This window comes from Homo sapiens, chromosome 11 (genome assembly GCF_000001405.40).
Source record: "Homo sapiens chromosome 11, GRCh38.p14 Primary Assembly".
Taxonomy (NCBI): domain Eukaryota; kingdom Metazoa; phylum Chordata; class Mammalia; order Primates; family Hominidae; genus Homo; species Homo sapiens.
The window spans coordinates 95,843,904-95,860,121 of NC_000011.10; the positions used below are offsets into that span (position 1 = coordinate 95,843,904).

The window sequence follows — 16,218 nt, forward strand, 5'->3', positions numbered from 1 at the left end:
AAAAAGTTCTATCCATAATTGTTAACAATGTAAAGGGGGTCCTGAAACCAAAAAGTTTGAGAATCATTACTCTACATTAACCTTGTGAGCAAATCCTCTTGACTGGGTGCCCTTTAATTGTCAAGATTCTATTTTCAGAATATAACTAGGTAAAAAGAACGGGGGGAGTAGGTAACCAGAGTTAGCAATTTAGGAATCCATAGCAACTTCGAACACCCCAAAATGTTTGATTTTGAACACATTTATATAAACATGTGCAGCTTTGGCTGACTAAAACTTGATTCTTTGAAGTACGAGTTTGTTTTAAATGGCCGTTTCATGATAAGTACATTGTGTAGAGAACGGCAAAATGTGAGCCATCTGAATAAACACTCCAGGTACCCAATTTTATTTAACAGTTCAAGTTCAAAAGAGCAGACTAACTTTAAATGTCTGTTCCTTTCATGTTACAGTTAACCCTTGAACAACACGGTTAGAACTGCACAGGTCCACTTATATGCAGATTTGTTTCAGCCAAATGCAGGATGCGGAACCCACATACACAGAGGGCCAACTTTACATGGTCCCAGCAGGGCCAGCTTCAGAACTTGAATATGTGTGGATTTTGGCCTGTTCATGGGATCTGGGAACCAAGCCCCCACATATACCAAGGGACAACTGTATAAACACTGCTAGTATACTCTGGTAACTACTGGATACTAAAGGTAAACATTACAGACAGCATCTGGGTAAAGACCCTTCTAAAAGTTTTTCAATTATTTAGGAAAACGCCTGCCCAGAAACACCCGTGGACATCACTGAATGATATCCGATGTTTCCCAGTGGAGATCACAGAAAAGACTGGGTCAGACACTTGACAAATAGCTAGCTCTGACTCCAGACTAGTCATGTTAGGGATATCTTAATGCTTTCCAAAACAAGCAAAAACGTTTACCCCACTAGATAAATGATCAATTTCAGATGAATATCTTATTTTAAAAAACACATTTTTTTCACATGCCTTGGCATGAATGCATGTGATATATCCAAAGTCAAGGTTCCTTACTTACTAGTTGAAATCGATGTCCAAAACTTAGCCATTCTTTCTCCACAAGGACTTCAAATCCTCGGATGGTTCGATAGTATCCATCCAACATGAGCATGGCAAGGGAAGTGAGCTGAGCTGTGCGATCCCAACCATCACTGCAATGCACTACCACAGACGTCTTCCCTGACTCTACCTTGTCAGCAATCCTAAGAGCCCCTGCAAGAATAAGCTGGAAAACAGATTTTTTAATACATTGTTTTTAAACAAGGTAAATACTTCCTTCTTCAAAATTTACTAATACAGCTTATCAGGGATCATTATTTCAATAACATGAGGAAAAACATTTGTCCCTTCCTAAGAAGAATTTTTTTAAATGGTAGAAGATATATAAATTTTGCTTTTAAAACTAGAAAAACCTCATAATTGCTGACTCCTATTAATTTGCCCAACGAAATAGCCAAATCAAAAGTACCTTTGGGTGCTACATAAATCATGGTGTAAGATTCTTCTTAGAAAAGTTCTAAAGAGATCTGTTTCTAAGAATCAAATATTCCATCATCTATTTAAATAAAAATAATTGATATAGCAATTGAAGCCTTGTTATGATTTAAAACAATGCTTAAACCAAATTGGGATAAGCACCTGAAAGCAATAATACTGGATCTCTTTAAAATACTCTATAGCAGTTATTGTATTGTTTTGACTAAAGATTTTTATGTCACAGAGCATACAGCAAGCACAGTATAAACTTTAGAGTGAGCTACTTTTCTGTAACACTGCATGAAAATTCACAGAATATGTCAATCTGTTACTTAAAATAACTTCAGCTCTTATTTTTTTAAATATGCAGAAATCCTTTGCAAAATAACTTACCTTTTCTGAAGTCAATCTTGAGTTAAAACTAAACATAATTAGATATAACCAAAAAAGAAACACAAAAGTATGGTATCTTAAAAAAAAAAAAAAAAAAAAAGGACAATACAGCCCTATTCTTCTCTGCAATGGCCATATTGTATTATACTTGAAAAACAGTATAGTTCTACATACGCAGATGAGAATGAAAGAAAACAGATTATTAAGCTTGGAAGTATGATAACCTCCCCTTGATCACAGCTATAAGCATATTCTGGAAATGGGGTACTATGACGATCTTGACTATATATCAAGAGTCATTTGTAAGCCTGAAGTGCCTAGACCTCATTGTCCAATGATCCTAATTCAGTATCTTAAATAAATTCCACCTATAATTCTAGTGCATATACGAAGTTAAGAATCACTAACCCAAAGGCTTAGTTAAGATTGATCAGGAAGAGTTATCCAAAGTAGTAATTGTTCATTCATTCATTAAATAAACATTTATGGAGTCCCTTACTAGAAGGTAGATACTGCTCTAGGCACGGGCCATACAGCAGGGAACAAAGTTCCTGCTTACTGAAGTTTACATTCTATTTGGGTGAGGCCCACCAGTCACAAATAAACAAGGAAATATACAGTATACCAGATGGCAATAAGTGAAAACGCTCCATAGAAGTTATAGGGAATGCTGGTAGAACTCTTATTTTGTAAAGAGGCTGGGAAAGGTCTCTCTCAGAAAGGTGATATTTGAGCAGAGACCAGAAGAGAGTGATTGAGTAAATAAACTTTCTTTGTGTGATAAGGATTGGGGGAGAATAAAGTAGTTTAGCCCAACTATATGTCTTATAACTCTAGGGAAATTTGATTCTGTTATAGCCAGCCTTTTAGAGACCATGTTGAAACTGCAAATTAAATATCTGGAGTTTTCAGAATCAAACACAGCGATTTATGTTAGTTCCAAATCAAGCCTAAGGCTGTATATTTACACATCACATAATTTAATGAATGGGCCACATGAACATGCTCTCTGAGTAGTGTTTATACTTTGTGATTTTCAAGCTTCTAAGCTTCTCAAAGGGAAACAATAGTAAAAATGGTCTATTTAAAATTCTTATTCAGTTTGGTTTTCTCTTCAATTCTGTCTGAACTTCAGAGATTTTAATGTGAGCAGAAGTATCCTCCTTCTTAACGTGAAAGACTGCATTTCCCATTACCTCTTAATATTTATATATGTGGTTACATAAGTCTACATTTTGGTGAGTTATGTTACTGACAGACCATATCTGAAAATATAACTAGATTAAATTAGCATGTTAGGTAAATTAGCACTGACATGTGCTCTGCGAATGACTTAGCACTCAGTGTGGCTCATGCAACCACTCCACCTCATTTCCCTGATCAGAATGGTTTTAACTTCACAAATCAACTAATATTTATTGGGTACCTATTCACACGGATAGTGCTGCCCTAGCTCCTGAGAGGACAAAAAAATATATGTAGGATTTATCCAGTCTTGGTCTCCATAAATTAGCAATATACGTTGGTTGACACACAAAAGCAAACAAAGTACACGCTAGTTCCTGATTAGATGGAAAGACAGGGTAAAGAGTTCAGAGAAAATGGAAAAGGATGCAATCTGGGAAGACCTTATGGAAGAAATGAAATATGAACTGGAATCTGAAGGATGGTTCGAATTCAGATAGGATGGGAGGGGGAACAAAAGAAATACAACATAACCAAATGCACAATATAAAAAACCAATTCATTCAAACATTAAAATTCACTAGTAGTTCCAAGTATCAAAGCATTTACCCATTTTTCATTGTTTAGAAAGGTACCTTCATGTTGATTGCAATTATAAGTAAAAAGCTAATATAAACAAAGGGGTAGAGAGAGTCTTTGTTTGGGATATAGTAACACACACCCACCTTAATATGTTCTAGCCAATGAGTAGATTCCAAGTTAGACAACCAGTGGGTTTCCTCAATGTTGGGGTACACAATCTCCTTAAGTTTTCGTAATGATTCTCTCATAACATGAATATTGTGGATATCCAGGAAAACTAGTTCAGCATTTTGATAGGCATCTTCACTTTCATAACCTCCACCCTTTGCCTGGAAAAAAGCACACATCATGGAAAATCATAAATGAATGCACATCTGTAAACAAGTGACATAAAATATCCAATAGCATAAAAGATGATACATATTACTGGAGACAAGGAAAACTCCACAGGAAAATGTGGATGGCTCAGGACAACTTATTTAGCACAACCACTCGCTTTCTTGTGTTCTTCTTTACAAAATGAATATATACGTAGTCTGACTTGCCCATATGGCCATTATTAAAATTAAATATGAAACACATAGGAAGGTATTTAAACACTGTAAAGCACTAAATTTTCCCAGCCCATACGCCAAGTCCTACCCAAACATAAGTTCTTACAGATGACTTCCTTTCATATATACTGAAATTACCAGACTGTAAGTTTCATGTGCTGAGACCACATGTCTGGTTCACCTATGCTTCTTCACCTCCCTGCCTCTTCACCTCATTTTAATCTTCATATCTGAGAAATAAACTCTTTGCAATCAAAATGACCTGCTTCTTTTTTAACCACATAATTCTCTTTAAATAAAAAGACAGAACAAGGATAAAAGCACAGAATGCTATCATCATCAATGTTCTCAAAGACTTAAATCTACATCTACAAAATAGAATGAGAAAATATTTGGTGTTCAAAATAAGCTATGGCTAGAAAGAAGAACCTTATTTTTCTGGACTTAATCTTTTTATATTTCATGAATAAAATATTCTATCTCCTACCTAACTCGTGTAAAATTATACTTCTTAGAGCCCTAATAGAAACAAATTAGGAAAATACTGGAGCAGTAAATTATACAAAATTAAGTGATTATATGACCCACACCTTTGAAACAACAAAACCACCAACTCATAACCAGCAACAAACTACTGAAAGAACAGAAGTTCAGCTTCCTTTCTGACACTGAGAGTCTGGGAAATCGTTTGGCACAATTATAGAATTTACAGTATTTCAAGGGATACCTGTTAAAGATTACTTCTGAAGAGTGGGAATAAGACAGGAACTTTCAATTCAAATTTGTTGCAACATTCTAGAAAGACAGCAGTGGTAACAACTATACAGAACCTGTCACCGAAACACATAGAATAAAAATGCCCTGGATTCAGGTAGTGGCATGGTTGTACAACTTTGTGAATATACTAAAAGCACTGAAATGTACACTTGAAAAGATGAGCGCTTTTCAGTAATGGTACCTGCTGCTGTAGTTATGTCTTCTCTCTCCTTCCCTCCTCCTATAGATTTGGTCAACTGAACCAAAATTTCAATTTCCACAATGCTAATATTTATTCTGCTGGAACAATCAGCTACAGCTAACTGCCAATTCTTCAGTCTGAATAACTTGTTCAGGTGGAGGACGGTCAGAAGAGGGCACCACTAGTCACCGAGAACACTAGTTCGCTATTCCTAGAGCAGTACTATACAGGGACTTCAGTGAGTCATAAGCTCAGTTAGTTGTCAACTTTGGAGAAGTGGGAAGCTAAGAATAACTGAACACCTAGTTATTATGTAAGTAAGCAAAAGTTTATGCATTATTTTTTATTAAATGATTTTTGCTCCCAAAACAACACTGTTAACTATTATTATTCTCATTTTTACCAATAAACAAATTGAGGTCTAAAGAGGTTAAATAACTAACTCAAAATCACACCATCAAGTTGAAGAGCCAAGACAAGAACCTATATGTTTACCACTGTAGAGCCTGAGCTCTTTTTACTACACTGTGGCCCTGCCAAACTCAGCTGATTCATGAAACCATAATTATAATTACTAAGAGACCATCTGACCTTGTTGGCAACAGCATTAACACTTGGCCGGGCATCAAATATAAAGATTTTGTGAGACTGGGCATTGGAATCCATGATAGCTTGAAGGTATTTTTCATCTTCTTTGCTTCGCTTTCCACTCACTCCAACCATGGGCTGGCTACACCGAGTGATTGTGGCTTGACTTTCAGGATGAATCCATGATAAAACCTTAATGAGGAAAAAATGGTAACACACCTTTTACATACTTCTCTGTTTATAATTCTCAAAAACAGTACTCAGTAAAGCTCTGCTTTCTAATTGGATCCAAAGCCTGGCCATGAAAGGACATCTGAGGCTGCTAAGAAAAATCATCACCTTTCCTTCAAGCCAATTCTGGGATGTGGAAAACTTGGTCTAATTCTTTAGTCAGATACTGATTTAGGAAAGTATTTGATTATTGGGAAATGTTATCTCCTGAAAAAAATACTGTGAAACAGGGCTAAGTAAACCCCACTTAATATATTAGTAAAACTGCTCAGTTCTAAAAGCCTTTAGAATCTATGAATTTTGTACCTAAAATTATTTAAGCTCATCTTTCTAAGATCCAGTTATAAATCTGTAAGGTGTTCTTTCTAGGACTTAAAAAAAAAAAAGAACATTTATCATCATGACTAAAGAATATACAATAAGATAAATAAATAGTGACTAATACACACAGCAAACTTTTTCAGTGAAGAATCATGCAATTCTGTGCAGTTATCTAATACCCATATCACACTCTCTGGAAGCCTCTTTAAGTCTTTCTTCCAGTTTTAACTTTACTAAATAAATCAATCTCCAATATCCCCATGAAAGACCTGCTGCTGTAGCTATTTATATCCTGAATCCATTCTCCTACTCATTAATCTCAGCATTATGTTGAGTAAAAAAGCACTTGCAAAGGCTCATCCAAACTTCCTACTTACTGGGATACGGCCTCTTGATCTGAAGGATGCCACTCTCTTTAATTCTTCATCAGGAATATTTGCTGGCACAACCAGGAGGGCAGGGTATGTATCACAAAGTTCATATCGTTCATTTATCTTTGTTATTCTCCAGCTTTCATTTGGAATTCCCTACATGTGAAATGAAACATAAGACAAATTACTATATAACTAAAATATTAAACGACACCAGGACAGAAGCCATCCTGTTCAATCTCTCTGACCTCTACTATCCATCTCCTAAAGTGTTGGGATAGTTGTTGTCAGCCTGTGGTATCAGGCTTTCAGGATTAGATATTCTAATGTAGGGATACGTATTCATTTGTGGAACCCAATTTGATGTTAATATAACAGACATTAATTCACTAAATATTCAGTGTGGACCTGTGCTAAGCATATTCAGGAGGTGGAAGGAAACAGTAAGACTTCAAATATTCCTTTTTTTTTTTTTTTTTTTTTTTTTGAGACAGAGTCTCACTCTGTCGCCCAGGCTGGAGTGCAATGGTGCGATCTCAGCGCACTGCAACCTCCGCCTCCTGGGTTCAAGTGAATCTCCTGCCTCAACCTCCTGAGTAGCTGGGACTACAGCCGTACGCCACCATGCTGGGCTAATTTTTGTATTTTTTAGTAGAGACGGGGTTGGCCAGGATGGTTTCAATCTCCTGACCACCTACCTTGGCCTCCCAAAGTGCTGTGATTATAGGCATGAGCCACCACACCTGGCCAAATGTTCCTATTCTTTATTTATTTATTTATTTTTTTGGAGACAGAGTTTCGCTCTTGTTGCCCAGGCTGGAGTGCAATGGCGCGATCTTGGCTACTGCAACCTCTGCCTCCCGGGTTCAAGCAATTCTCCTGCCTCAGCCTCCCAAGTAGCTGGGATTACAGGCATGCGCCACCATGCCCGGCTAATTTTGTATTTTTAGTAGAGACAAGGTTTCACCATGTTGGTCAGGCTGGTTGCGAACTCCTGACCTCAGGTGATCCGCCTGCCTCAGCCTCCCAAAGTGCAGGGTCTCATTCAGTTTGACTGGATGATTGACTTTGTTGCCATTCATCTATACAAATAAATATCAGAAGTCAGGCACCAAGTGTCCACCAGAGTGCTACATGCACAGCTATCGCTTACATACGTAAAGTACATTTTTCACTGAGGTATTATAATACTAATGGATGTTGCTAATCTAAAATATATTAGAAAAGTAAGGGAGGAATGCAAGGCAAAATGACAACAGGCAACAGGCAAGAAAAATGCTTGAAACAATTTTTAAAAAACATATCAACTATTGAGCTCTCGTGCTCCTTCAATATCTGCTATTTTATAAATAGTGTACTACTTCACATATAGGATTAATAAAACAACTGAAATTTTCCATCCTTCACTGTATACAAAATTAAGCTATTATATTAAATGGTTGGACTTAAGAAAATCTATCTTAAATTTTATGATCTCTGAAAATTCTTATCAAACAGAAAAAGACAGAATTGAAAGTGAAAAATACATTTACTGAGCATCTACTATGTGTAGGCACTTTGCCAGCCTCTTTACACCCAAACACACAGATATATTTTACTGTACTCAGGTTTCATTAACTTCATTTCATAGATAAAGAAACTATGGCACAGTTTGTAATTTGGCCAAAGCTATACATTAGGAAGTAGTAGAGAATTCCATGAGCATTCCAAATCTATCCTTTTTATATAAAAGTACATTATTCCTCAAGAAAAATTTACTATCGTATTCACTAAATTGTTGTAAAAATCTCAAAGAGCAGAATGTACTCTCCTTTAAAGAAGTATTTCTCAAGCTGTTTCCAAACACCCAGAAGGATGTTAAGAAAGAAAATTCCCTTCCAGCAAACACTCTCAATAGCGCTTCTATTTATCCCTAACTGTTCTTTCATTACTACCTTACATCCTGTTTACTCCATATAATTAGCCTGGTCCCATCTTGCTCCCTGTGGTCTACATATTTCCCTCCCTCCTGATTTCGTTGACTTCAGATATTCTGGACAACTTCAAGATGAAAGTTAAACCCTGCACCAGGCTGCTCATTAACTTTATACAGATTTTTACCCATGACTTATTTCCAGAACTACAGTCTTAATTAGAGGTTTTTAACAAAATATTCACGTGCTGGCCGGGCACGGTGGCTCACGCCTGTAATCCCAGCACTTTGGGAGGCAGAGGTGGGCAGATCACTAGAAGTCAGGAGTTCAAGACCAGCCTGGCCAACATGGATGAAACCCCGTTTCTATTATACAAAACTTAGCCAGAAATGGTGACTCATGCCTGTAAGCCCAGCTACTTGGGAAGCTGAGGCAGGAGAACTGCTTGAACCCAGGAGGTGAAGGTTGCAGCGAGCTAAGATCACGCCACTGCACTCCAGCCTGGGTGACACGGCGAGATTCTAAAAATTTATATATAATATATATATATATACACAGTTCACTGTACTTTTTATTATAGCACGTGAAAAATATATATTTCATATTTTTTATATATGTATATATCATATATATACTTATATATTTTTTTCACATGCTGTACTAAAAAGTACAGTGAATTGGCAAGTTTAAAGAGATGGTATTCAACCAAGAAACCTGGTTATCATCTTTAACTCCTCCCCCTCCCTTATCCCTTACATCCAGTCAGTGACCAATTTCTATGATTTTTCCTCCAGAAATACCAGAAGTTTGCTCACTTTTTTCAATTCTTACCACCACTTCCCTAATTCAGGCCATTATCACTTCTCTCCTGTCCCTCTATAATCCATTCTCTACACTGCCTCCACAGTAATCTTTTAAGATGCAAAAGGGATTATGTCATTCCTCTGCTTAAAATCAATGGCTACCTATTGCTTTTCATATAAAATATGAAGTCCTTTACCAGACTTAGCAAAGCCCTCTACAATCCTGCTTTCTCCAGATCTCTCCCTTGCCACTGTATGCTCTGGTCTAGTCTATATCAAACGTCTTTCAGCTCCCAGATGGCCTCATGTTCTCTCCCTACAGTACTTGCTCTATCAGACTATTCATTACATTATATTGTAATTGTTAATCTATTTGTTTGAATGCTCCACTGAACACAAACTCTTTGGGAACCTGGACTTTATCATTTTGTTTCATATTTTAGCCACTAGTATTTAGAAGGTATTATATGAATTTGATAAATGCATGAATGAATAAATCAGTGAACCACAGGAAGTTTCCATATGAAGCAAAATTAGTTTCTGAAGTTTTCTTAGAAAACATGGAGTCAGAGCTAAAGGTCAGATCACTTGAGAAGTATACATCAGAGGGCCTAATGTACCATCCCCCAACCCAGAAAGGTACTCCTGTCTCTCTCCCACCCCACTTCCCATATCCTTGTAAAAACACTACCAGGAGAACCACTGTTCTCATGGGGAATGTCACATTATTCACGTAAGTAGCAGGGTGGGGTAGGAATGAGAACCAATGACTTAGATTACCTTCATGGCTATTGTCCTCCTCATTCTTAGATAAGCCGACACACCTATCTTCACTAAAAACTGCCTTTCAAGCAGAAAACTGGAATTGGCTAGCCCTCAGACACTCTCTTTGTAGACTACTAAAAATATACTGACAATTATTGATCTTTGGTATATATCTACTCTCCAAGCAAAATCACTGCCCTTCAGTATCCACTTGTCAGGGTCAAGTTTATTATACAAACAAACTGAAAGGACCATGGCTTTCTTAGTTACTTACATTCCAGTTCTAAGGATAAGTTCTCTTTCCCTTGACTGAAGTAACTGTTTTCCAAGTTTGTTAAGTAATGCATGTAACTTATGTTGGGTATTTCTGCAGAAGACCGTGCTCGTTATCTTTTTTGTTCGTTTCATGAGATAAGGTCTCTGCACTCTTCACCAGGCTGGACTGCAGTGGTACAATCACAGCTCACTGCAGCCTCAACCTCCAGGGCTCAAGCAATCCTCCCACATCCGCCTCCAGAGTAGCTAGGACTTCAGGCATGCACCACCATGCCTGGCTAATTTTTGTATTTTTTGTAGAGATAGGGTTTCACTATGTTGCCCAGGCTGGTGTCGAACTCCTGAGCTCAAGCAATCCTCCCACCTTGGCTTCTCAAAGTGCTGGGGTCACAGGTGTGAACCACTGTACTGGACTGCTCATTATCTTTATACAGATTTTTACCCATGACTTGATATTTTTCCTTTTTGTTTTTTTTGAGACAGGGTCTCACTCTGTCATCCAGGCTGGAGTGCAGTGGCATGCTCAGGGCTCACTGCAGCCTCGAGCTCCAGGGCTCCATCAATCCTCCTGCCTCAACCCCCCTGGATAGCTGTGACTACAAGCATGTGTCACCACACCTGGCTAATTTTTGTATTTTTGGTAGAGACAGGGTTTCACCATGTTGCCCAGGCTTGTCTTGAACTCCTGGGCTCGAGCAATCCTCCCACCTTGGCCTCCCAAAGTGCTGGGATTACAGGTGTGAGCCACTGTGCCCAGATGACTTGATTTTTCTTGGCCTTATCCACAAACTCCATAGTCCTGTCTATAATCACTACATACTGTATATGTCCTTCAAGAGTAAATTAAAGAAACATTCTCCTATATGACAAACCTAAATGGTTATTAATAACTTTGTCCATTTTTATTTATTTACTTATTTTTTGAGACATGGCATCTCACTATTGCCCAAGCTTGAGTGCAGTGGCACATTCACAGCTCACCACAGCCTTGATCTCCCAGGCTCAGGTGGTCTTCCCACCTCAGCCTCCCAAGTAGCTGGGACTACAGGTGCATGCCACACCTGGCTAATTTTTATTTTTTTGTATAGATGGTGTTTCACTATGTTGCCCACGCTGGTCTCAAACTCCTGGGCTCAAGCGACCTGCCTGCCTCGGCCTCCCAAAGTGCTGGGATTACAGGTGTGAGCCACTGCGCCCAGCCTTTGCCCATTTTTGAAGAGATATAGTCTAATTTCTTTTAAGACTATTAAGTGTAGATCTGTTGAATGAATGTAGCTTTCATTTTTTTAGTGGCAGCACATGATAAAGCCAGTCATGATATCTGTTTTTCAGAGCCTCACAATGTAATAAATATAATAATCATCATTTGGATAGATTTTTACAGTTTACAAAGTGCCTTTCTATATGTCACTAATCCTTCAAACATCCCATAACGTGGTATCTATCACCAAGTAAAAAATGAAGGCACTGTGCCATAAATGATTCATTCAAGAGCCTACATCTGAGTGTGAGAGTAAGAACTAGAGCTAAAATTCAAAACTAAGTTTTCTAAATGTGCTAGAATTAGAGTGTGGTGGTAATTGCACAATTTCGTGAATATGTTAAAAAGCAGTGGACTGTATACTTTAAAACAGTAAATTTTATGGTATGTGAGTTACATCTCAATTTAAAAAAAAGAAAGGTCTATATGTTTGAAGATGGTACCATCTCCAAAATATATTAATGAAGAAAGAAAAGCACAGAAGAGTGTGCATGGCATGCTACCATATGCTTAAAAAAACAATACCCACACATATATACACAAGCTTTGTAGGCATGAAACCTTTGAAAAAAATACTCAGGAAACCAATAATATCATTTCCTAAAGGGAGGGGAACTGGAATGGCTAGGGGGACACAGGTTGTCCTGCAAGGAAAACCTACCTTTCAGTATACCCTGCTGGACCTTTTGAATTTTGTACAGAATGCAAGTATTACCACTTCCTTTTTTTTTTTTATTTAAAGGGGGGGAAGTGAATAATCTGATGCTTTATCATTAGTCCTTAATTTTAAGAGATCATCTTCATTTTCTTCTGTAATAAACTTAAAATATATCCAAGAAAAAAATCTTAAAACTACAGCTTCTAACTACAAATACAGTGTCCTCTCCATTAGACCTTTTAGTTGACTCAGAGACAGTTTCTCATGCTGCCAAAAAAAAAAAAGCCAACAAATTCATCTAGTAAGTCAAAGACCATAAAGCATCCATACCATTTTATGTAGAAGCTAATGCTCTATTCTTACTGCCACAATTCCTAATCTCTTAATTCTCTTTCTGTATGGGTATAGTTGTTCATTTACACTTCAACTTATTTTTTTTCAGTAATAATTTACCTCTTTTCTTTAGACACCTGCTTTCCAAAGTTCTACACTGAATGCTCCTGGGACAGCAATTTCTTCCCAGATTCTCAAAGAGTAGTCCTCATTTTTATAATTTCTAAAGACACCTGCTAGACTTTTTGGTTGCTTAGTCATCTTCTTCTGACACTGGATTTTTGAGTTAGCATGAATCTCCTGTTTCTTGTATACTCTTGGCTTTTAGTTGATTCCCACTTATTTTGTATTCTATTTCATATTTTGCCAAATAACTTTATAACTGAATGAGGAAATTTCAACTTCACTTTCCACATGTAAGTGTGGTAACAAACCCCACTTCAAGTCATTTAGATATCTTTAGCTCTCTGGTGGTGGTTCTTTACCTCTACCTGGCTTTGTGAAACAAAACCACAATAAATTAGAAATGTTATAATTAAAATGCTACGTTTGAAATTTAAATACAAAAGTAAAAGCTCAAGAATTTTCATATTTGAATTCTAGAATACTCTAGATAACAAATCTAATGATTACCAAGAAATAATCAATATGTCTTAAATTCTCAAGAAAGCATAGTGGACAGGAGGAAAGTTAAAAATAAAGAAAAGACTATTTTAGGTGGGGCTTAAGTAATGCAGTATAGGGACTCTTTGGGAAGTGGTATACTGAAGGAAGAATAGGAAGAATGATATACTAAAACAGATTTCAAGATTGAATTCTGCTTTAATCTCTTAATGTGGTGAATTACTGTGGTATGAGATATGCTGGTTTTCGTACATGGTTCCACCCAGTTTTCTTTGGAATGAAAAGAATACAAAATACTAAAATTGAAAGAGAAGAAAGTACATACCTGCCTTCTATACTCTAAAAGAGGGTCATATAGCTTCCACCCATTTTCAGGGAATACTTCTTTGTATTCAAAAGCAAAAAGAGGCTACAAAAAAGTAAACAATGGTAAGAGCTAAAAAAGATATTCACAAAGGTAATGAATCAGAAATGTATCCATATATCCAAAGTTTTCATTTATTTATCTGCAAGAACATTTTATGTATTAGCATCCTTTTTTGTATTATAGTTTTTGTTTTATCATTTTGAAAATCTATTTTTTTACATATTTTTAAGCATACAAAAAAGCAAAGACACTTGCCAACAAAACTTATCAAATACCAACATATCATTGTATTTCTTTCAGATTATCCTTGGTAGCCTTTGTAGGTTTACTTTCAAATAAAGACATTACATTTAAACACAACTATGATGTGAAAAAAATTTGAACTGGAGTCATAAGACCAACGTTGATTCCAAATGGTACTCCTACTAACTGTGCCCTTGAGTTAACTGCTTACCTGATGTTGCTTTCATCGCTAAACAGGGATAAATAATATCTACCACCATAGGCTACATAGAAGTGAAATGATATAAACGTGGGAGTCTAACACTGTCTAAAGCACATAGTGGGAACTCAGGGTTTGCCTACCCTTACCTCCCTCCCAAATTGCTAGTGTTAACTGGCTCCCAATTAAAAAGGAGATTACAAATCCTAATGAAGACAACAGGTAACTTTTCATCATGGAAACACCCTGAATAGCAAGATCATATAATCATAAAATGTTAGTGCTGGAATGGACCTCAGAAATCAGCTAGTCCAGCTTCCTTTATTTCATACCTAAAGAAATTGATCTAAGAGACTAAGTTACACTTACACTATACATCTGGTTAAATGTCAAAGCAGGGATGTAAATGTAGAGATTCTAGACAGCCTAGACAAGTTTCTTTATACGACATCAATAATTATAGCACAAATTTTCCAAAGACAGGAAACATTTTACCAGGTTATTAGAGACAGGAAATGCATATTTCATTAGATTCTCAAATATGGATCTTCTTGTCCGCCCCTCAGGTTTATGAGCAAATCGTAAATTCCTAATATCCTAGAAAAGATTTAGGAACCAAGTTAATAATTGTTCACTACTTACTTAAATGAATAAATAAGGTTACTTGGAACTATCTTGTAAAATGTTAAGATCTGTGAATGTGGGATACAAAAATAAATCAGACATCAGCTCCTGGAGACAGGGAAATTATAATGGTTTATTGGGAAAAACTGAAAGAAACACAAGGTACTCTACTATGAAGCAGAATTCAGAGGGCAGGAAATTTACCTATGCTTATGGACTCAAAATAGGCCAGTGAAAGAGGTAGTATTTGATGTAACCACTGGAGATTAACGATATTACATCTGAAGATTAATATCATGACTGATACAAACTATCAGCATATGTGCTTTCCCTGTGAAAGCCCATTTTCTGTCATAAATTTCTTTATTTATAAAACCTGATTAGTAGTTGTTACATTTCATACGTGTCTTCAGTTCATTATATCTGGTGATTATTTTCCTACTAACTATCCCTTCCCAGGGTTCATTTGCATTGGACCTTCTCTTCCTAAGTCCCCTGCTACTAGTAGACTTGATAGAACTAAACCCTGCCTGAAAGTGTTCCTTCCTTCACTCCATAACCACATTCTTCCACCATCTACTGACACATAACTCTGAATAGTTTAGTTTATATTATCCAGGCTCTACAGTAAGGTCTAAAGACCAAGTTTCCCTTCCATTTGTCCCTAAGCAGTTTTCTATGCTCAGACTGAATGCAGTTATTCATGTTCCGGTTTACTGGTATCTTAACAGCACTTAGAAAAAAACTGGGGATTAAGATAATTTCAAGGGCCAGGCACAGTGGCTCATGCCTGTTATTCCAACACTTTGGGTGGACAAAGCAAGAGGGACACTTGAGGTGTTCTACTTCTAAAACAGTGGTGGGGAAAAATTGGTATTGTAGACTTTTCCTATGTTCTTATCTACCGACATTCTTTAAATGCATTGATTGATACTTGAATGAAACATGAATTGTTACAAGTTCAAGGCCAGCCTGGGCAACATAGTGAGACCTTGTCTCTACAAAAAATTTTTTAAAAAAAATTTATAAGAAAAGAATAATTTTAAGACTGATCATTTTATTTAAATGTTTTTACCTAGGCAGAATTCAAAATAGCTTTATTATGCCTCATTTTGTAGAACCACACACAAAGCCTCTCCACTACAGTGTACCCACAATACATAAGTAAGACAGTATATGATCCAAAACTAGAATGCTGGCTTTACTATCTTTTAAAATAAACATGTGCGGGAACCTAAGCTGATATCTTGTTTTCCCTCAGTAAATATCTTTATAACTAGGTGAGATACTCAGAATCATTCTGTTAACCACAGAGTTCTCTGAAAGTACCATGTCAGGGGCCCTACAAATATTTTTGTTTATTGATAACGATCCTGTTCCATGGAAAGAAATTATATTTAAAATGATTAAGATTCAAAATTATCTTCTTTCACATCGTCTTATATTCTATGCACTACTTACT

General features: G+C 36.7%; 1 protein-coding gene across 23 annotated transcripts in view; it reads right to left on the minus strand.

The window, feature by feature from the left end:
• The window catches only part of MTMR2 (myotubularin related protein 2), a 91,228-nt gene that overhangs the window by 11,024 nt on the left and 63,986 nt on the right, over positions 1-16,218 (minus strand). For 18 of the 23 annotated variants that reach the window (NM_001440635.1, NM_001440648.1, NM_016156.6 and 15 more), the window contains 6 exons: positions 14,628-14,729; positions 13,649-13,732; positions 6,697-6,846; positions 5,771-5,959; positions 3,811-3,996; positions 1,050-1,256 (listed from right to left, as the gene is read on the minus strand). In NM_001440635.1, coding sequence (NP_001427564.1) covers positions 1,050-1,256; positions 3,811-3,996; positions 5,771-5,959; positions 6,697-6,846; positions 13,649-13,732; positions 14,628-14,729 — 918 coding nt within the window. The remainder of the gene's footprint in view (positions 1-1,049; positions 1,257-3,810; positions 3,997-5,770; positions 5,960-6,696; positions 6,847-13,648; positions 13,733-14,627; positions 14,730-16,218) is intronic. The other 5 variants (NM_001440649.1, NM_001440643.1, NM_001440647.1 and 2 more) reach the window with 4 other exon arrangements.